This window comes from Homo sapiens, chromosome 2 (assembly GCF_000001405.40).
Source record: "Homo sapiens chromosome 2, GRCh38.p14 Primary Assembly".
NCBI classification, from domain to species: domain Eukaryota; kingdom Metazoa; phylum Chordata; class Mammalia; order Primates; family Hominidae; genus Homo; species Homo sapiens.
The window spans coordinates 187,421,795-187,445,305 of record NC_000002.12 but is presented as its reverse complement, the minus strand read 5'-3'; the positions used below and the strand labels follow the sequence as shown (position 1 = coordinate 187,445,305).

The window sequence follows — 23,511 nt, the reverse complement described above, 5'->3', positions numbered from 1 at the left end:
TTTTGCTTTATTGCGTATCTTATGCTTGGCATTCAGAGAAGCTATTAAACCATAAACACAAGCGCTATCATTGCAAGGGTGTTAATGAAAGACGCTCTTATGAGAGTCAAGTGTGTAACGTATCTTAGTTTTGACTTAATCAGAATATTGGAGAATACGCTTAAGATAGACAAATGGTACACAGCTATTTAAAACATTTATCTGTATCTGGTTTTCAAATCCATGGGTAAACTATAAACATTCATAATTTCTCAGGTATGTTCTATTTTTCTGACAAAGTACATGTACCATACTGGATTACAAATTATTTCAAGACATCTTCTCGTTTAATATACAAAAATATTATGATGCAAATAGGTGGAAAATAAAAACTTACCAGAAATACAAGTCTACATTCTAACCAGATGGATCTATCCTTTTCCCATATATTCACATGGACCATGTAAATTAGATTAGGTCAATTAATCTCTGCATTTTTCCTTATTTGAATAATCTTAAAATCAAATTAATTTAATTATAATAAGCTATATTACAAAAAAGAGAAGAAATGTATTCAATTTTTAAGGACATAATAAGGTCTTACTTCTTCTTACAAAAATATAAAATAGTATCACTGCCTGTGAACTGAGTTAGGGTCTATGTTTCCTAGGTTACTAGAATTATTATCAGGTAATAAGTTGCAAATATTTTCCTAAAACACATTTCTTCCATTTTTTTCTTCAATTAGTTTGTTTACTTAAGAGACAGTATTATTCAAAACTAATACACCAAAATATTATTGTTTGCAAAAATGGCCCAAATAGTGTATTTACTTTTGAAATGTTAAGCAAGTTTTATTTTTTAATGTTTTCATGGTTTAAATTAAATGTGTTATACACCTTTTCCATTACTAAAAATTAAAAAGACAAAAATCCCAACCCAGTTCAATCTAGCATAAGCCAAAATGAATACATAAATAACCCCTATGGTATTGGGGCTATAGTTTTATATTTTATTAACACTGCTGGATGGAGCCCAATTTTCAGACAAATCTTATTTCCCTTAACATGGAACATATCTTTTTGAATTAAAAAGTGTTAATATGACATAAACTTTTGTATAAAACTGTAGTTATTTCTCTATTCAGGCTTAGGCTAACCTAAGCTCATTTATGTTTCTCATGAAATTATGGTGAATTTTGAGCATATCATTTGGTATGTTAAATTGCAATGATTTACTTACATAGCAACTAGATGGTTTATAAGTGCCCATCTCCTTACAGTGCAGTCACATGGAGGATCAATAGCATATTCGTGAGCACACAGGTTTGGTTTTATTAACCAAAATGAAGATAAATTTTTCTTGTATCCAACTACCAAATTCATAAATTTTACAAATGAGTGTTAATTTGAACCCGCATTCACTAATTAAACTGAGACCAATGATTACACAGATATTTTGCATATGCACCTCAATTTTGCCTTTCTTCCAAGGATAATTTGAAGGAAAAATAGAAACTTTGGTAAGTATCAGAGAGCAATAAATAACATTATAATAGACAAAGAGAGTTAAAACCATGGGAAAAGAATGTCATCAATACAAAACTGTGATTTTTATTTTGTACTTAGTAATGGAAACAATATTAGAGTAACATGTTTATTGTTTTATTAGTCAATGTGCATATGTCTTTAAAATTTTACTTTTAATGATGTATTTGTTTCTGTCTTTTCTACAAATATACCAATGTACTTTATAAATTAAGAAAAAATATGCATTTATTTTAGAAATTTAGGTATATGGTATTTATAGAAGTACACTGTGATGCGCTTTGGATTTAGATCATCCACATAAGAACCCAAAATTTACCACTTATTAGTTCCCCTTTCTCATCCATAAAGTGGAAGTGATAATCATATTGCTTTATAAGGTTTTGTAAGTAATCCATGAATTAACACGTGGAAATTTTTTAGCACTTGGCATTTAGTACATATTCAATAAATTTTCATGTTCACCTTAAGTCTGTTGTGAATGAGACTGAGGACATAATTTGTTTCTATGCAAAATTTTATTCCAAACAATCAACACCCATACGGATAAACAGAATGCAATCTATCTGTAAGACAGGAAGAGTGAACAAGTGTGATTTATAATTACAGTTGTTACAGTGACCATCCTTTTGCCATTATACAATACATGCCAGAACCTAATAAAATTGATATTGATAATTACTATCTCCATAGAACTTGAGCACTTTAAAATACCTGCATATTAACAATTTAAAAAGGTATATTAAACAAAAATTATTGCGTTTCTTTACATGTGAAACTCAGTGAAACCCAAAGTTGCACAATCCTCGTTGACAAAACTCTGGTTTTATCCTACATATATTATGAATCTACATCCTAAATATTTCATTATACTATTGTGTATTATCTATTATTAGACCTCTCATTACTGAAGTTGTGCAAAGTTGAATAGTGATATGATTCACCAAATCCAAACTGAATCTCTTCTAACACAAGATAATAAAAGTAAATTTATTTACACAAATTTGTTTGCTACTTGTGTGACTATACTACAGTAGAGATAAATGTAGACATCTGTCGGAAAATTTTAGTTTTGATTACTATAGCAGCTCCACAATCTCAAAATGAGAACATTAAGAAGGATCCAATAAATTCAGCTTTTAGGATTCCAAGTTGTTTTTGACCATTTTTTTTAAAGTTCTTATTATAGGAACTTATTACTGCCACCTAATGGAAGACACTTATATTTTCTTATTTATTATATTTCAAAAATACAAAGAAAGAGTGCCTGTGCAATAGGATGGCAAAAAAAATTTAGGTTTTGGCTTAACATAATTCATTTTAAGAATTTATCATTGAATATTTTATAAATTAAGACCCACATTGAGAATGTAATGAAACCAAAACCTTTTTTTCCATAAATTAAAAAAAAATACATTCAAAGGGATTCTCATTTTGCTTACAGTTGCATGAGTTTCATAGGATCTCCTTTTTGTTAGCTATGTTAAGAGTTCTTCAACTCTCAGTTTAAACACCCATGTTGCAGGTAATTCACGTGACAGTTACTCTTATAAAATAAGGTAAAATATATATATACGTATATGTATACATATATACACACATATATGTGTGCGTATATATGTGTGTGTATGTATGTGTGTGTGTATGTATGTATATGTATATGTGTGTGTATGTATATATATATATATATATATATATATATATATATAATGTTTTTAAGCCACCTCAGATACTTTTATAGATCAAGGAGTAAGGAACAGAATTCAAAAGACAGACATGGACATCAGAAACAAATGGCCAAGAGTTTTCCCAGCAGACAGACAGCATGAGTTGCAGGGCGTTAGGAAAAACTATACAGTAAGTACAATCTGCAGTTGGTAATTTTCCATCTGTCTTTTGGTATCCCTCTCCTTCCACTAAGTTTTCTCACTTAGCCTGTCTAACGTTCACTTTTTTCCAAACCATAGGCCCAATAGCTGCATTCTGGCCTCAAGTGGTCAAGAGTAGCATATTTTCCTGTATGCTAAAATTGCTCTTTTTCTAAACAAATTAAAATCTGGTAATATTGCAGTATATTTCATTTGGGGGAAGGAAGCAGACTGATTTTTCATCCCAGAGTTTATTTCTGTCAAAGAATATTTATATTTTAACTCATATGACTATACATTTATTTCCTTTAGGGGATACTAGGATTAAACAATATGGTCCATAGAAGTACCTCATAAGAGGTACTTATGAGGTGCCTGGCCCTATGCTAGGTGTCGAAGGCCAACAAGACAGGTCTCCTGCTCTGGACAACAACACCACCACTTCCATGTTATGTAAAGACAATTCCAATCAAAGTGTATAGTCTTAATCCATACTGGCTGCCACTCTATTTTTCATCTTGTCACAAGATCAAGACTCAATATCTTAACTAGAGTGTTTTCTAAAATGACAAAACCTGGTAAATCAGATCTCTTAATGTCTGAAAAATTAGATAAATCAAATACATATAATAAATATGTATATATTTATTATCGTAGCAAACCTTCAGTTATTGATGAAACATCAAAAAACCTGAAATAAACAACAACCAGATTCACTGTGTTCGCAATTTTATGTTTTCCTTGGTTAAGATATTCTGAAATATCTCCCTTTCAATTGCTTCTAATATAATTTTTTACCTTTCTTACTTTGACAAAAAATATTTTTTTGTGTCTAATTCCATTGCAAATACCAAGGTTAAAGAAAGTGATATTCCTAAGAATAAAGCTTTGATGAATATTTGTCTTCATTAATTTGGATAGGAAGGCCTTCAAATGAGATATGAGCAAATATTAAGGTCTGGAACAACCTGGCAGGAGTGAAATTCATATAATGATTTTCCTAAATATTGTTTAATTTTTTAATTAATTGAATTTCTAACAATAGCTAACTTCCTTAATTATGCACTTTCCAAAAGGATTTCCTGTTCTATGTTCCATGTTATCAGTGTGAAAGTCGTTTTGATCATAAAATTAATATATGTTTATATTTAATGAACCAAATTCCAGTCTACTTCCTTCAAAGTAAATACACACCAAAATTAACAAAGACTTTATATTTGAGTTTAGATATAACACAAGCATTCTTCAAAAACATCCATTAAATGTGTAATTTTCCATACTAATCCTGAAAGCTAAGTTCGTTGAGCAAGTTCTCAACTTTCCTGACTCCAGTACCATAAAAGACTGCATATGTTCAAAACCTTAAATATAACTTGTGGCTTCCTAAGCTAGAGGTCTGAATAAGTTAAATAAATTTAGTTAATGGATTCCTAACTTAGAAAAGGGAGACTCCATCTCAATGTTTCATTAAATCTAACTATGATGTAGGTCTTGAAATGGCATGTGCTTTTTTAAAAGAAATAAAAGATGTTAGATGTTTACACTCTGACAACATTCTACCCCTAATTACTCAAAATAGTTTAGACTTCAAGGCTTGTCCTACATTCTGGTCTACATTTTTCCTTACAGAAATAGTTGCGTGATGTTATCAACATGGAAGGGAAACAGTCTTTATAACAGACATGCTTTTTTTTTTCGTCTGGACATTTTAGTTCAACCTAATATGCATATGGACATCAGTTACTACAGTATATCCATTCCAGTTTAAAAACTATTTGCAATGAAATTAAATTTTGGGTAAGGAACAAAGATCATTGTGCATCATATAATTTTATTGATATAAGATTATAATAGTAATATAATAATAGTATGAGGGAGTATTTATTTGAATAATTTCTAAGTTTATTATTTGTCTTTTTCTCTACATTACATAAGCATCACATTATCATCTGAGTATGAAAAGAATGCTAATCTTCCTTACTTATGGACCTATAGATCTTGTATTCCAGCTTTAAATGTCTCTTCTTCCATTTATCAAGTCCTTCACCTCTAGACAAGTTTACTTACTGCCAGTACTTCTGATTTCATTTGCCACCAATTTAAAGAAAGAGACGCACATTTTCTAAAGGAGAATTAAGAATTACCTGTGGGTTTCTTTCAACTAGCATAAAATGTTCTTATTCCAGATATCCATATACCTAAGTCCCTCACCACCCTGCCATCTTGCTCCAATGTGAACTCTTCTAAAGAGCTTACATCGATGATTATTTAAAATCAACCTACGTCTATACTACCACAGACCTCTTTTCTTTTTTATCTATTTTAGTTTGTCCTTTTTTCCTGTAATACTAATCATCTTGCACCAATCTACTATAATTTACATATTTACTGTTTTTTTGTTGGTTTTTTGTTTGTTTGTTTGTTTTGTTTTGTTTAGTATTTAGTTAGTTAGTTATTTGAAACACAGTCTTGCTCTGTTGCCCAGGCTGGAGTGCAGGGGCATGATCTTGGCTCACTGCAATCTCTGTCTCCTGGGTGTGAGCAATTCTCCTACCTCAGCGTGACCACACCCAGCTAATTTTTGTATTTTTAGTAGAGATGGGATTTCGCCATGTTGGCCAGGCTGGTCTCAAACTCCTGGCCTCAAGTGATCCGCCCAGTCTGGCCTCCCAAAATGCTGGGATTACAGGTGTGAGCCACTGCACCCAACCTTGCTATTATTTTTTATTTTCCAGCCACCCACTAACACGTAAGCTCCAGTGCAAGGATTTCTGCCTGATTTTCATTTCACTAATATATATGAAGCACCTAGATAAGTGCCTGTATATTAGGTGCCCCAAAACTGTTTACTAAATATTTAAATGAATAAATGAATGAATGTTTCTTTATACTAGAGTCTAAATCACAGAAAACTGGATATTGGCTTCATGTGAGTTTATATATTATTCAAGAGATGCCAGAGTAAAATTACTGAAGGTGTTAGAATCACTGTATATTTCCAAAAAGAAAATATTCAAAAATTAGTTTTCATTTTTTTATTCTTACTTCAACCTAATATGTATTTCTTCACTGACTTTGAAAGGAAAAAAGTTAGTAAAGATGCTTCCTGTAATATACTTAGTGTTCAGATTTTACTAAATTCCAAGGAATGACCTTTCACATTAGGGTAAATGAGAAGATTGCTCAGTATTTTAACATAAAATGTTGAAGCCTTTCCCCAAGTGGCCACACAATGGCTAAAACTGGCAGAATTCTTGTTGAAACTGGCTGACTTGCCAACTCTTGCCTCCCAACAAAAGCCTTATTCCGTTACTTATTGCCTTTCTGGACAATAGCACTAAAGAGCCTATACAAGGAGGAAAAAAAAAACAACTTAGCAATGAAATTGAGGGAAAGAAAATTAATCTTTTCTAAAAACATCTATAGCAGAATACAAATTCTGTTTAATTGCCAAAAAGTTTTACGTCTGTTTGGTAAACAGACATGTTTGTCAGTCTGTAATTTATTAAGCTTTTCAGTGTTGATGTATAAATACAGATAACTCTAAAAACAATGCCAACTGTCAATGACCTTACCTCATTGTATTGTTATGGAAGTTTTCTAAACTTACAGCCAAAGGACTCTTTTATAAATTGAAATACATATTTGTGATTAAATAAATCATAATTTGTTTGAAAGCCTCATTATGGATCTTTACACAAGTTATATTATGAATGGACCCAACTCATATTATAATAATACATCTTTTATTTTCCCATTTAGATTCCCCATTTGTTTGAGATTCAGTGTTAACTTTATTGTTTTCTTTTAAAACAGAATTCTAATTATTCATTTACCAGAAATGTCACTATTAAGGTTTTCTTTCTTCTGAGTTCAAATATGTATGTCATTCAGTAAAACAATAACTTTACTTTGAGAAAAATACTGATTGTCAACATACATCCATAGTATTCAGATAAAATATGTATATAAAATGTGTCAAAGTTGTAATTTTACTGTTTTTCTACATATTCTCTTATCACACTACTGACTGGATTTTAAATCATAAGCAGCACACTGGTTTGGATTAAATAACTCTCTGTCTTAGATGAACTATTACTCAAAACATTTTTAAAAATTGTCAAATGGCTTCTTCCTACCACTATCCTTTCCTGTTTCTTAACTCTTATCCCTAAACTTTCTGACTTTATTTGATACAGTCATTATCAAACAACATATTTTTGATAAAGTTATTATTACAAAACATAAACTATATTTTGTTTTTAAAATTAGTCAATTTGTTCTGATAAGTTTATATATGGCAAGATAACTCAGTATTCTACAACACATTTTCTTTATTCTAAGGAGCTTAAAATAGAAAAAAAAATAGGGCTGTCTTTACAAAGACAAGAGAGTGGAAATTTCTAATCTGAATAGGCTTGATGAAATAATGTAAAAGGCACTTAAGATAAACTTTACATAAATAAAAGCCTTGAAAGAAACCCCGTCTCTACTATATGCCGCCATCACGCCCGGCTAATTTTTTGTATTTTTAATAGAGACTGGGTTTCACTGTATTAGCCAGGATGGTCTTGATTTCCTGATCTCGTGATCAGCCTGCCTCGGCCTCCCAAAGTGCTGCGATTACAGGCGTGAGCCACAGTGCCCGGCCTATATGTATCTGAGTTTTAAATATGTTTTTAAAATTGAATTTAACATTTTAAAATGTTGCACATCCTAAACTTTGCTCTTTTTGAGTAAATCCAGAGCAATGCATTTTGTTTCAGGTCTGGTGACAGTGGCTTTTACAAATGCAATGTGAAGGCTTGGGAGATTGACCCAAAAATTAATGAAATTTGAAATGGAAGGAACAAGATTAAAGAGTGAAAAGCCAACCAGAACAAAGTATATCCAAACAAAATTCTCAACTAAAGAATAGAAAGATATGACTTTAAGAACAAAATTAACTTAGTAATTATTGCTCACCAAGTTAAAAGATCAGAGGGAGGCTTGAAATTTGAAAGTAAGAGAAACCTTAAAAGAAAAGGGGAGCACATAGAATAAAGACAAGAAAAGAAAGAGAAGATAAAAGGAGAGGCTGTAAAAGAAGACAAATTAGTCCAATAAGACATTTGATTTGCTAGATTTATATAATTTGTTAGATTATAAAAATCCAGTGCTGAATCACATAAATTGAGATGCTTTGGCCTACATGGCCATGGACAATGGGCATGTCAGTGGGTACCATTTTCAGTTGACATGCAAATATCTTCCAGGTGCTTGGTGTAAACTTTTGGATGGTAAAGCCTTATCTGCCTTTTCGACTGGGACAATGGTAAGTGTTAAGTCTCAGGGTTATTACTTCTGATCAGAGCTGAAAAGTATTTATTTAAAAAATTGTGAAAAGTAAATACCACCTCCTGGGTGGTAATAACTGACTTGTGTTTCAGGATTGAACCCAATTGGTCGAGATAATTACTCTGCTTTTAAGTGGAGGGGTCATAAAATCTGTCTCAGTCTCTCAGGACCTCTACAGGTTGGGCTACACTGATCATACCACATTTAAAGCAGCAGTGCTGTTTGGTAAAGTGAAAATCTCTCTACTTATTCTGAACCTACCAAATGAGTCTGGGATGGCTCAATGGACAGATGGAGATGATGCTTAAATGATGCATGTGTGCCCTGACATAGTGTTCTCTTTTCTGTATTTTGGATGTTGTATGAATAGGGCATAATAACACAATAGAGTCAAACTAACAATAACAAAATAAGTCAGTAAGTAGGACGCATGTTTAAATCAAGTGATTGTCTTTACAAATAACTAAATAATAACTATAAATATATATTGAACTACCAATAAATAACAAGAAGTATGTAATACTTCCCATTTTAATTCTGGGCTGAGAATGATTAGTTCTGTGAGTTGGTGGCACATTTTTCCTGTCTGAATCATTCTAACTTAAAAATCTTAGGAACTTGGTAATAATCCAAATTACAAATTTGTAGACGCTTTTCACCATCAGATTCAGGGGTAAATACACACACACACACACACACACACACGCACGCACAAACACACACACCTTGATTCAAGGATTAGTCATTATTGCTGTTCCAAAATTCCTTTGTGTATATAATAATAAACTTGAAATCATATATAATTTATACATTTAAATCACATAATAAACTTTCAAATAGGATCAGTACTGTATAAGGCAGCTCCATCTCCGATCCAGATCCCTTGACCTTTCCCTAATAAATTGCATTTCATATATTTTGATACATAGATTCATAACAAATACATCATTCCTTAGGAGGGAATTATACTCTGCATACTTTTCTACAAAAACCTTTATAATTAAGAACATTTCTTGTATGTAGAATATTATGTATACCATACTGATATAGTTTGGATGTTTGTCCTCTCCAAATCTCATATGAAGGTTGAATATTGAAATGTGATTCCCCAGTGTTGGAGGTGGGACCTGGTGGAAAGGAGACTGAATCATGGGGATGGCTCCCTCATGAATGACCTAGCACCATCCCCTTGGTGATAAGTGAGTTCTCGCTTAGTTAGTTCACACAAAGTCTGGTTGTTTGAAAGAGTATAGGACCTTTCTGCTCCCTCTCTTGCTCCCTCTGTTGCCACGAGATAGGAGATATGAGGATATGTCAGCTCCCCTTTTGTCATGATTGTAGACTTCCTGAGGCTCTGCCAGAAACAGATGCTGGAGCCATGCTTATACAGCCTGCAGAACCGTGAGCCAATTCAACCTATTTTCTTTATAAATTACCCAGCCTCAGGTATTTCTTTATAGCAAAACAAGGACATTAACACATACACATATACTGTTTAAATAAATAAACTCCTGTATGCCTAGACCCAAGATTGTCCATCATGTTCTTCCCTGATTGACTCACATGGACATTCTCAGAAGTAAACCTTTATCCTAAGCTTGTACTAATCATTTCCTTGTTTTACTTTATGACTTTACCACATATGGTTTCTGGGCAAACTATTACTTTATTTTTCTGCTTTTATTTTTACTTTAATGAAAGTGGAGTTATCTTGAATACATTCTTTGAAGACTTGCTTCTTCCATTCAGCATTATGTTCTTGAGATAAATCATTGTTAATGGGTATAGCTGTGGTTCTTTCCTTTCACTATTACAGTGTTCCATTGTATGAATGTAACACAATGTATTTATCCTTTTTCCTGCTGAGGAACATCTGGATTGCTTCCACAGTTTTGATATTACAAACAATGAGGCTATGAACATTTTGTTAACATATCTCCTGGTACACATATGTCCATGATTTTTTGAGGATATATTTTTCAGTGAGATTTCAGGATCCTAGCAGTTCAAAATGCTTATGCCAATTTATACTCCCACCAACAGTGTATGAGGTTTCCATTGCGTCATATCTTTTCTAATGCTGTGTATTATTGTCAAACTTTTTAATTGTTGCTAGTCTGCTGAGTGTAACATAGCATCTCATTGTGGTTTTAATCTGCATTTTCCTTATTATGAGTCACAATGAATTTGTAAGCTAAATGAATTAAAATTTTCCTCTGAAACATTTGTTTCTAATTGAATGGCAGTGACTTAATGTTGCAGGGTTATAATTAAGTCACTTTTTGCTTGTAACTATTTAAGAGAAGGATTAAGTATCTCTCTTTGGTTAGGTGGTCCAGGGAAAGCAAAAATATGTTTTATTGCTTTTAAAATTGGATATGTATGAATAACATTTCTCATGAACAAGAACACAGATAGAAAATGTCTTGAATCTTAGCTCTAACTTTCTATTTCTCTTTATTCAAAAACTTTATCTAATATCTATCAAAATCTCCTTTGAAAAATAAAGAGAGGAAGAAAATGAATAATTCTATTCAGGGTGTGTATGTCTTCTTTTTTAAAAATTGGTTGCACATTTACAATAATTTATGAAGCTTACATATCTCCTGAGAGTGATTGTGTCTCTCTACCTATTGTAAAAAATTATTTCTTAGGCGTCAAAACATCATAGAAAGCATTGAAGTTTGTGTTTTTCACATAATTCCTCATTTTTTAATTCACTTGATTGCCTTTATAGGCATCAGCTGAATTTAACCAGTATATTTCTTCAAGGTTCTGATTTTCTCTTCATAAATATACTTAGGTTTATATATTTTTTCTTCAGATAAGTTGTTATATTTCACCATGGCAACATTATATCAAGAAAGTATAGGTGTTATCCCTATTTGCTGTATTTCTTTTCTGTGTTTTCCAGATTTAGTTGATTAGGATTTTATTGTCCAACCATTTCAGCCAGTTTTGCTACTTGAACAAAATTAGCTCTTTCTTTTGAGTTTTCTCTAGGTATTTTTATCTTTCACATTGGGGCTTAATAATGTTTTCTTTTTGTCCTTTCTTCTTGCCTATTAATCCATTTTAGTACATAATTTAATACCACAGATAACCGATATTTTTCAGAAGAGGTAGTAAATACATGTTCACACATACATTGTAATTTTATTAATATATGCAACATGTTTATTAACCAAAATTAACTCATCAATACATTTTCTGATAGCCAGAAGTGACCATTTACATGTCCCAAACACCAAAAAGCTGGAAAGATTCTTTCATAGCATTTTTGGCTGGGATGAAAAAAGAACCATGCAGAAAAAAAATAATGCTTCTGAGTATTTCTACTTCTAGTGGTATTTTCTAGCAAGTTGGGAAAATACTCAAAATAAACTTCAACTTTGAACCTGGTAAATTTCATATGTATGCCAATAAAGGCTGAGACTAATAGGAACTTTTATTTTTTCTGAAATAGCTTTTAGAAATCCAGATTCTAAATACAGTCAGGTGTCACTTAAGGATTGGGATATGTCCTGAGAAATGTGTCATTAGGCAAGTTTGTCATTGTGCGAACATTACAGAGGGTACTTACAGAAACCTAGATAGGATAGCCTACTACACATCTAGGCTGTATGGTGAAGCTTATTGCTCCTAGAATGCGAATCTGTATCACTGTACTAAATATTTTAGGCAACTGTAACACACTCGTAAGTCTTTGTGTATTTAAACACACCAAAACATAGAAAGTACAGTAAAAATACAGTATGAAAATCTTATGGTACCACAGTTATATATGTGGACCATCTTTGACTGCAACATCCTAATGCAGTGTGTTGACTGTATATGCAGACTTTTTGCCAATGTACAAATACACATCTAATTAATATGACCACATGATTCTAATTATAAAATGTGTTAGTTAATTTTTAGTGATATATAATATGTTTTAAAAACACATGAAGGAGTAAACATTTACAAGGTAATTTTTCAAAATAATTGGAAGTGATTTTTGATTTACAAAAGATTCAGTTGCAGAGATTACTTTTAATAATAAGCTTTCTGAATATTTTTGAGGGTTTACATTTTGAGGGTCAACATCTCTGTTGACTTTAAAGAAATTATTGGCAATAGATCTGATTATTGTTGGGTATAGTAGAAAATTGATGCTCCATAAGCAAAAGGTCATTAAAAGCCTTTCAAATGTCATTATGACTTAATTAAGATAAATAATTCACAAAATGCAATTCTGACATTTTTCAAGTTCTTAAAATTCAAACAGTGTGTAAATGCAAAGCAAGGTAAACTAGCTATGTCTTGCTTTCAACATTAGTTTGAGCCTGAAAGGATGTATGTAAACTACATTTATGTAACTTCCATATTTGTTTGACAGGGAATGAATTTAACTTGTTAGTAACATCCTGTTTATGGAGATTTAAAACTCATTACTGACAAGATTTGGCCTCTGGTTCCCTCTTTGACCCAGTTCTTGAATGCTCTTTGCCCTCATTCACTCCACTATGACCATATTGACTCTCTTTCTGTACTTTGAACTAGCCAAGTCATTCCTGCCTTAGAACCATTGACTCAGTCATCCTTTCTTCTAAAAATGACCATTCTCCTGAACATTCCTTGGTATGCTCTCTTACTTCAGGTCCACTGCTCATATACCACCTCTTCAGAGATGCTTTTTGTGACTATTCTATCTAGTGTACCACCATCATACATTTCTCATTTCTCCCTATTCTCCCTTAGCTTGCTTTACTATCCTTCATACCACTTATCAAAACTGGCCATTTTAATATTTATTTGTTTCTTTTTTTTTCTCCTTATAATATAAGCTCCATGAGAGCAGGGACTACCATATCCCCAGCCTGTAGACCAGAGCCATTCATACATAGATTACACATCTTCCTAGGGCCAAGACCTTAAAGAACAGGCACTATCTGCCTCCATGTTTGTGCCTGTTGGAGTTCCTATTCTTAGGACATATGATGCCAAGAACAAAGTTACTGATTACTTTCAGGTTAGCATGGTGACAACCTCAATATACCTGGTATGTCTCCTCCCAACTTTCCATTGAAAAGTATCATTTGAAATATATATGTTTATGGTTTTAACAAAGAAACACACTAGTATTTAACTTGAGGTTAAATTCTGAGAAATCCCACCATCCACTCATAATATTACCAAATTCACAGGAATGTTCTCTTGTCATCTAGGGTCCTACGATGATACACCAACCACTTGTGCTACCATCTGTCAAAACTTTGGATGGCCCTACTTTCAGGTATTGCATATATTACAAAACAACATTCATGACCTAATAAAAGTAACATGTTGCATTTCCAGTAAAGCTGAGGATAAGACCATGTTAACAATAGTAAGAAATATTTCACGGAAAGGCATATAGTTAACTTTAGAATAAAAGAGAACCTTGAAAGGCAATCTAACAAAATATTAATAAAGATGGAATTATGGACATCTGTCAAACTTACAAAATTATTTCCTTGGCACCTTGGCAGTGGACTTAGTCTCCATATTGCTGTTCTCTTGGCCAGACTACCGGGAGTGTTAAATTAATTTGAATGTGTCCTATTAGATTTATTAATATTAGTTATTTTGTAAAATTAGCCACAGACATCATATATTATATGTATATATACTGTATAAAACATATAACCATAATTATATGGATATATACAAAAAATTATGTTTAACATTATAAAATAGGGCTAATTTGCTCATTTGAACTAAGTTCCTTTTCTCTATAGAGTTCCTTATTTTCTATTCACATTGTCACTGTTATATTCCTATGAATGGATGTAAAACTTTTTCATAATTGGAACATAAGATGATAACCTTATTTATAAGCGAAGAAAAAACTTTAAATGACTCTAAATATTATTTTTAGAACTCCCTGGCCACTCTGAGAGTCTCATTTTCAATCCTGGGCATTAACTACAGGCTTTTGGGGCATTGGTGCTTCCAGAAAGACTGCTGTTCCAGATGTGTTTGTCTTGTTATTTATGTTTGGCATTATAGTACCATGGCAAATAAAATATTAATTATGCAATTAATGTTACACCTCATAGCTGCCTTTCCTACAAAATTAAATGTCCTGCATTAACTTGTTTTTAGACTGCAAACGTTTGACAATTCAATAATGTATCATCGTAATAAATGGCAATAACCTAAATTAAAACTAAAGGCTACTAAATTATTTTCTCCTAAATTTAAAGCTGGGTGACATCATTCCTCCTTCTGTACTTAAGCTGTGATTTTTAAATTCCCAGTTCATACTGCTGGACCCAAAAATAGATCCTCTATAATTGTTCTTTCTCCCACAGCATGTCTTTGGGAACTCATCATTGTTGTTCTGTCCTTTCATGTGTCAGCTTCCTTTGCACATTTCATTTCACATGACTCACTGTTCCTTAGAGCAAGGTTTGAATGCTCAAAATGCCTACTTATATCTGACAGATGGATTTTTCTTCCTGATGGTTTTTATGTGAAGTAATATCAGATCAACTTTCAAAAGGCCCAAAGTTTGCTTAATAAAGGTATATAGGAAAGAGAGCACAATGGGAGAAAATTCACTTACTAGGGAAGAACTGGATTTGGCCTCCACTATCTGTGTGTATCAGTCATGTCTTCATGTGAACACTGAGAGGAATACACTATATTTTTTCCAAGTGTGTTTTTCAACTTATAACATGTTTGAGAGTTTGAAGAAGATAAATTGGAAGTAGCTGATAATGAAAGGTCCAAGTTTAAAGGTGCATTCTCTTCATTAGCCTGGTCTCACAGAACTTGTAGAGCATTGCAAAGATTTTCTGTGAGAAGTTAATGGCTGCCTTTTGAGTTGTTTTTGTTCTAATAGTGCAGTTTAAGGTGTAAATTCACTTCAATTCTAGCAAGAAAGAGGTAGAAAAAATTATCTTTATGGAGATTAAAAATGTAAATGAGAACTATGATTGCAGTTTGCCATCATATTAGTTTGAATTATGTATGTTTCCATTTTAACATAATAAAAGGAGTACAGAACAGACACTTAGGAGAGGGGGCTCCCAGTCTTAGCTCATCTACCACTGCCGTGGAATATAAAGCACATCACAAAACCCTCCTGAACTCCTAATTTCTGTCTCTAAACTGAGAAGATTTTTCTGTGAGATTTCTCAGGTCCATCCCAGCTCTGAAGTTCTGAAATAGCTGCCTGTAACTCTCTGACCTAAAGATAATAGCTAGAAATAAAATACCATCTGAAGTTCTTTGTAACCAACTATGTGATTTATAATAGTTCAATTCCTCTAACTACAAGGGTTTTTTTTTTGTATGGTTTTATTTATGTAATCATACAGCTGACCAAAACTTGACAGATGGGTAAGAAGTGGGAAATAAAAAAAATATAAAGGGAAATGTCTCTGGCTAGTTTGAATTTTGGCAACAGAAGCATCTATTTCTAGTTATCAGTAAAGTTTAGTAATCTTGTGGAAAGTTCTTTCAGACTCCAAAATAGTAAAGATATTAACTTATAAATTTCTAATCATTTAATAGATCAATTTTTGCATTTAAATTTTAATCCAGCTAAAATTGAAGCAATATTTATATTATATAAACTAAAAATATATTTGTAAATTATATGAAAATACTCCAGAAAAGTTATGCTTACAGTAATTTTTTTTTTTTTTTTTGAGGCGGAGTCTTGCTCTGTCGCCCAGGCTGGAGTGCAGTGGCGCGACCTTGGCTCACTGCAAGCTCCACCTCCCGTGTTCACGCCATTCTCCTGCCTCAGCCTCCCGAGTAGCTGGGACTACAGGCACCCACCACCACGCCCAGCTAATTGTTTGTATTTTTAGTAGAGATGGGGTTTCTCCGTGTTAGCCAGGATGGTCTCAATCTCCCGACCTCGTGATCCACCCGCCTTGGCCTCCCAAAATGCTGGGATTACAGGCGTGAGCCACTGTACCTGGCTGCTTATAGTATTTTGAAGTGTTGCTTAATGAATCAATTTTATGAATGATCATCTTATCATCTCTTTAAAATTTTATAGCACACTGTCCTATTTCTCAGAGTTCAAATTAGGTATACTCCCATGTGTATGAGAGACACAATTAATGACTTGTAGGTCATAATTAAAGATTCAAAAGATTCATTTTTGTTAATAGAATGTTTACAAATACTTATTCTCATTTTGCTGTATAATGAGCAGTGTCTCCAATTAAAGTAATTAAAATTCAACCAAATGAGGTCAGTGTGACTTGTCATTTATGTTAACTTACATGTTCCACAGCAAAATAAAGCTGGGACTTAAATATGACACTGGCTTAAATAAGTAAGTACTGGTAATCATCCTTGATCATGTGCCTTGAGGGTCTCATCTTAAGTGCCATGAAAGTCTACCAGTACTTCTTCATCACTAAAAGATTTTCATATTATTATTATTTCTGTAAAATGGTGGAATCCCTCATGAATATGCTTCCCTGCAATGTCCTTGTTAATTTGCCCTTAATCAGACTCTTCTTTAGTGTATATAGTTGTTCTGCTTTGCATTGATCCCTGAAACAGCCCTGGTGTTGATCTCTGTAAAAAATTTCACTCACACAGACAGTAGACTTCATTAAAGATTTACATGATAGCAGATATGGGAGAGGTTCACATACTACCAATGCAAACAACTTCAAATCAAATAGTAGAAATGACCATTTTTAGATGTCACTTATTTCTCCCAATAATCTATTTTGGCCTCTCTCTTTTTGACTTCATTGTGTCTTTACCCCATTCTTTCTTTTTGTCACTCATTTTCCAGCTTCTGTTGCATGAGTAAAAGTAATGCATTTTCTAATTTGATTCATGGAGAGGAGAATTCTTCCCCTGATATTTGAGCACCTGATAACATTTATGACCAAGAGTCTGCTCTACTCTAAGTGGATTTTTAATTTCTTTTATCAGAAAGAACAGTTCCTCTCATAAGAGGAATTATGATACCAATGTAATAGCAATTATTTAATATGGTAGGTAAACATAAACTGCCATTGAAATTTAGTAGAAAGCATATTATATGCAGTGACGATAATACCTTCATGAAATTCTTTACTTATCATTTTTTCTTTTCAAATTTGTTTTACATTAAAGTAGGATGAATGTCTTATCCTTTTTACTACATTGCCCACCATAATGGTTCTCAAATGCAACAACATTTTCATTTTTGATAGAACTGAGTTTCATCATTTACTTTGTGTTACACTTTTCCCTAGACCAAGGACCTATGAAGTGAGTTATCCATACCCTTACCACATAGGCAGAAACAGCTTCTTTTACAGAAATCAATTTCCTGATTCTCAAACTCGATTTGATCTCCTTCCTAAAACTGATCTGCCAGAGAAAACTTCGAAGCTACAAGCTTCCAGCTAGTTATCCTTTTCCACTTCTCTTTTCACAATCTTCCTTTTCCTCTTTTACCTACGTCTCCCTCCCCACACAAAAAACACAAGTGTTGTATCACCCATTCTGAATCTTACTAGAGAGCATTTTTGGAAGGTGTAACAATCTCTTAGGCCACAAACAAGGGGACAGGGATGGTGGATACATTGATGTTTGCCAAGCCTCCTTTCAAAAGGACATGTGAGCTTCCCCTTTCTTCATCTCATTAAATAATATAGGGTAAATAAAATTTTACTTTTGTTTAAGATGAATTATGAATCAAAATATATATCAAAGTCTATAATAATGCATTTTGATCTTGAGTGTAAACTTTAAAACCAGCCTGCCTGATTCAACTCTTGAATTAATCAATTTTTAATCACATGTTAAAGTTAATAAACTGACTGAGCTTCAGGTCCCTCATAGGTAAGCTGGGTTAAGCATAGTACCTACCTTACATGATTGTTGTAAGGTGATCATAACTCTAGAAAATCAAATATTACTTTTTGAAAGTATTACAATCTAATATATATCAGTGAATCATTTATTATATATCGTTTGTGTTTCCAGACCTGGTGGACACTCTATATAAATAGATAGCTACAAGTAGAGGTATAAATAGGTAATGTATAGATTCGTGCTTGAAGCTTAGTAAGCCTTCCAGACGTGTTAGCCACTATTATTATCAACATGATAATTATTGCCATTATTTTTTATAAAAGTTGTAGTGATAATGCAATCTGGAAGAACTTTTTAAAAACATTCATTTGCCGCCATTTGGACAGGATTCTTTCAAAATAAAATGTTAATCTGTGTACAAATTTTGTTGCAAAACATTTTAGAGCAGGGTAAAGATTTTCACGAGAAAAGATTAGAAGAGATTTACATCACAGCAATGCACACGTCTGCAAAAAAAAAAAATAATAAATGACAGACACCATAACTTCACAGATTTTAAAGTGTTACGTGCTCATCTAATGATCTATTTCCCTGTCACTTTATCTTCTTTCTTGCTCCGTGCTACCTTTATTCCTTTTTTTTTCTATATAATGAGTTTTCCTGGCTCTCTTTCAGGGTATCACTAAAAATAATTTAAAGTATAAAAATAAATTTTAATAGAATAAAATTCTATAACAGGAAGGGTGGGTAGTGGACTGGGATATGATTTCAAGGAGAGAAAGAAATGAAGTACCATTTCCAACCGCTGTGAAGAACTCATTTATTTTAAATGAATGTGGTAGATATTGAATTGCTTTTATATTTATGTTTCATTGTGAATTTTTAAAAATGATATAACAGTTATAGTTTAGAATGTCAACATTTAAAATGTGCCAAAAGTTACATGCTTTACAACTGATCTGTCAGTTGAAATGGCTGAAGTTCTTTCAAAATTATTTTACACAAGGTGTCAACAGAAAAACTTGAAGCACACTGCTCTTTACTAGAGTGTTTCATTCATCTTTGCACTTCCCGCACTATAAGGAATACACTTAAAATACGTTTATCAATAAATATGCATACTTTTTTCTTATCATGAAAATATAGTGAGTTATAATGCCATGCTTTTCATTGTACAATGCATTTGTGACTAGAACAACTAACCTTATTTCATAAACTTCACTTACAGAAGGAAAAATTGGATCTAGAATAATGCAACCTAATATTACATGTATCAGATGGAAATGTACTACTAATAAGCAAATAAATATAAGACTTTCAAGCTATGGGTGGAAGATACCAAATGGGTTTCTCTTGTGTTTTAAAAGGATAATAAATTATAAGGAAGTTAAGAAAGGTCCATTGCAACTGGGTCTGTATAATTCTATGTATAATAATTATATTTGTGACATGACTATTAGCAAATAGCTTGCTTTTGTTTTTGTTTTTGATAATGAATAACACTATACATTAACAAAAACATAAGTTGTCAACATTTATGTTGTCATAAAATGTGAGAAAAATCTATAATCTTTTTCCAAAATGAATTGACCTTTGAAACAAGCAATCAGTTAAATAGAGAGTATCTGAAGAGATTTTATTAGATTCCAAAACATTGTTCTTTGAGACAAATTCAGGTCTACCATTAATAATCTGACCCCTCAGTCCAAATTTCAGGAATAGTCCATTAGACCCCCAAACTAATTCTAATAGTCAATGCAGTGTTGATTTCCCTTATGTAGACATTATAAAAAACTTTATTTTTTAAAAAATGACATTATAAAAAACCTTATTGCACTTAAATATTATTATTGTTACATTTGTTGTCCATTTTGTCTCCCAGGCCTTCCTTAAGCTTCCCTGCAAAGTATGTTAGTTATATTTTATGGGATATATCAGTTTTGACAAAATATTTCTTCTTCCCAAATTATGTAGACTCCAGTATGAATATGATGAAGTAAAATTTTTAATCAGGCCATACCACAATTCATTTATACCTATCACGGTTTCAAATCTGCCATTTCTCCTTAATTTTCAGCCAGCTCTTTGTAAACTGCACATCTTCATACTTTTCCAAGGTTATCCAATTTTTTTGTCTATATTACTCCATCAGTCACAATACTTAGGAATGGCCAGATGCCTTTTGACTTGTTGCATTAAGCTATAGGGTCCTGCTAATATAATTAACAATATATTACTGCTATTTCTACTAGTTAATGAAAACAAATGAAATAATATTTGCATTTATTGATTTTTGTTAAAGTGAACACATTTCTATGTAAAGTATTTGAGAAATGCCTAGGAAGGGTGTGGCTTATAAGAAAAGCACAGTCATTTACTGTGATTTTATGGGAAGTTCCTGCTGTGGCTAAATGTACTCGCTCTCTCACATTGCTGTAGATAGCTCACAAAGGAAAACCCAACACAAATATTTGCAGCTTTTAATATGCTGAATCTAAAACATTCCTGCCAAGGAAAAACAGACCCCTCATTTAAAGGAGGGTAAAGCTTGATTCAATAAGCCTGGCAAATGGACCTGCCAACCATTAGTTAACTCAAGCAAGCCTTTTAAACCATTCTTATTTTTTTTAGGCTGTTTTATATGACACCTATCTCCAGATGGGAATTTGAAACTCCTTCCAAATGTTTTGTCTATATGGCATCAAATATCCATTAAACTTTAAATAAAAGAAATTGGGTAACCAACACCTAACCAGCGATTCCCATTGTGAAGAACTACCTCATTGGGCATATCTATATTTTGAAATCAGATGTGGCTATGTTAATCAGACTTTAAGCATGAGAGCCCCTTATCTATAAAGAAAAAATTATGGTCATGCTGCAGTTTTTTATTTTTTGTATCACACAGGGTAAACTTGTTTATCACATTTACTGTATAACTAATAATAAAGTCTAACTTCAAATCATTTGGGATTCTATTGCATGGAGTAATCTTAGTTATTTATTTCTGAAAAAGTTCATTATTCTCTATTTATCCTAAGTTTTTTCCCAAGCCTTTGGATATGCCAATAAATGATCCAGAAAACAATGCCTTGACACATAGGTTTCCAGGATACATAGGTTTCCCTGTCACTTCAAACACTATCACACACACAATTGCAAAATACTTTAGAGTAAATTTTGCCATCCAAGAGTAAGTTTTCTAAATCTTGGGAAACCTTAGAATTTATAACCAGATAATTAAAATATTCCTCAATAATATCCTATTAAGGTCAATTTTGTGTTTCCTTTATGAGGAAAATATGATTTTGAATGCTTTTATAACATCTCAGATTCTACATATTTGATACCATATTTGGTGGGAAATTGTAGACATATGTACAGTTGGTAAAAAAAAAAAAACCATACATACATGTAACTTTGAAGCACATTGGTTTAACTTCAAAGGCATTCCAAGTAAAAATTTATGCAATGAAAATGAGGAAGAAGTATGCTTGTTCACATAGATATATTAAATTAAAAACAATATAGACCATACATTCTGGTTTGCATTTTGAAGTGACTGTTGGGAAAGGTCTATTTCTTTGCAGTCAGAACAATTTTTCTATTATGTTCTATTGTTATTGTTCAGACATATCTTTGAAGGTCAAATTTGTCTGAAATTTTAAACGAGAAATAAGGAAGAGCTATTTATTTCTCTTACAGTCCTATCTAAATACTGTAATGTGAATTGTAATTCCTTTTCTCTATTGGAACTTTATTACTTTGATGCCATTTCTGAACACAGAGCTTTCAAAATCCCTATATTTATATCTTCTAGTAGACTATCTTCCTAGCTCCTTAGGATTACAAAGATCCTTTTATCTTTTTAATATACCCCCCTCATATTTTACACTAAAAATTGAGAAGCAAGAAAGTTAAAAGAAACAGAATAGTAATCTAGTGTCACAATCAGAATTATACCATTTCTCTTCAATACATTTGTACTGACTATTCCATAAATGTCCACAAACAACCTAATCTTGTCTCTTAGAAGTTATCAGCAACACAATGTTGCTGATAATTTCTAAAAGACAAGATTAGGTAATGTCTTCTGGACATTAATGTGTTCTTCTGGACATTTTCTTATGTGTTGAACTTCAAATTTAACAAAGCATTCTGTGATATTTACTATAAGAGCCTCACTATTATTAGACAAATTTGAGAAACCTTCTCTTGCACAATGCCCCAAAGCAAATTGCCACATACAGTTAAGTCTGGGCTTCAGGAAACTGCCTCATTTTAGATTCATATCCAATCCATTGTCCATTGAATTAGTCAAGTTATTTTCTAATTTAAGAAACTGAGCAGATAGTAAATGGAAATGAATTCAGAAAAAATATATTCTATTGTACTAGATGAAGCTGGATTTGTTAGCAGGGCTATCAAGCCAGACTTGTTATTAGAGACATCGAGCTGGCACATTAGTAAAGCAAAAACAAACCATAAATCACTCTGTTCATTAAATGTAATTTTTAAAACTCATTGATTTTTTAATCTGCCTGAACACAGATATAAATATCTATTTTCTAGAAACACTAATTTTTTATTGGAATTTTAGTAATAAAAACACTTGCCCTGTGGATACAATTGGGTGTCAGTCCTTTATCTTATTTCCTGCTAGCTACCTTTGATCTCTTGGTAATAGATTTTTTAATGCTACATCAGTGAATTCCTGACAATGTCTACTTTCCTTTTATTCATAAGGTGGAGCCAGGATAAAATACTTGGTCCAAATATCTTTCCTTTTGTCCACTTCCTATTACACTCCCACCAGCATCTGTATGCTTGAAATAATGTGCCAAGAAGCTTTGAATTTTGTTGAAGAGGGAAAAGAAAGTTGGATGGTTTTCTTTTGTTTGGGAGATCCAACTTGCGACGATGAGAATGTAAAGGCTCAAAGGGTGGCATGGTGTCTATGCTTACTGGAC

The 23,511-nt window shown here is 32.4% G+C and overlaps 1 protein-coding gene and 1 long non-coding RNA gene across 9 annotated transcripts in view, besides 1 other annotated feature; one reads left to right on the top strand and one right to left on the bottom strand.

The window, feature by feature from the left end:
* The window catches only part of CALCRL-AS1 (CALCRL and TFPI antisense RNA 1), a 544,253-nt gene that overhangs the window by 102,220 nt on the left and 418,522 nt on the right, over positions 1–23,511 (bottom strand). The window lies entirely within an intron of this gene.
* Positions 1–23,511, top strand: part of CALCRL (calcitonin receptor like receptor) — a 106,289-nt gene that overhangs the window by 2,947 nt on the left and 79,831 nt on the right. For 2 of the 6 annotated variants that reach the window (NM_001369435.1, XM_005246232.4), the window contains exons 2-3: positions 8,650–8,708; positions 13,942–14,009. The exons of 2 other annotated variants lie outside the window; for them this stretch is intronic. The gene's annotated coding sequence lies outside the window, so the exon portion shown is untranslated. The remainder of the gene's footprint in view (positions 1–8,649; positions 8,709–13,941; positions 14,010–23,511) is intronic. 2 more of the 6 variants (NM_001369434.1, XM_047442888.1) reach the window with 2 other exon arrangements.
* Positions 9,890–10,184: a silencer, noted in NCBI's record as "tiled region #13492; HepG2 Repressive non-DNase unmatched - State 13:Ctcf". NCBI's record gives its function as "represses a minimal TATA promoter and a strong SV40 promoter by Sharpr-MPRA in HepG2 cells {active_cell/tissue: HepG2}" and the evidence as "EXISTENCE:reporter gene assay evidence [ECO:0000049][PMID:27701403]".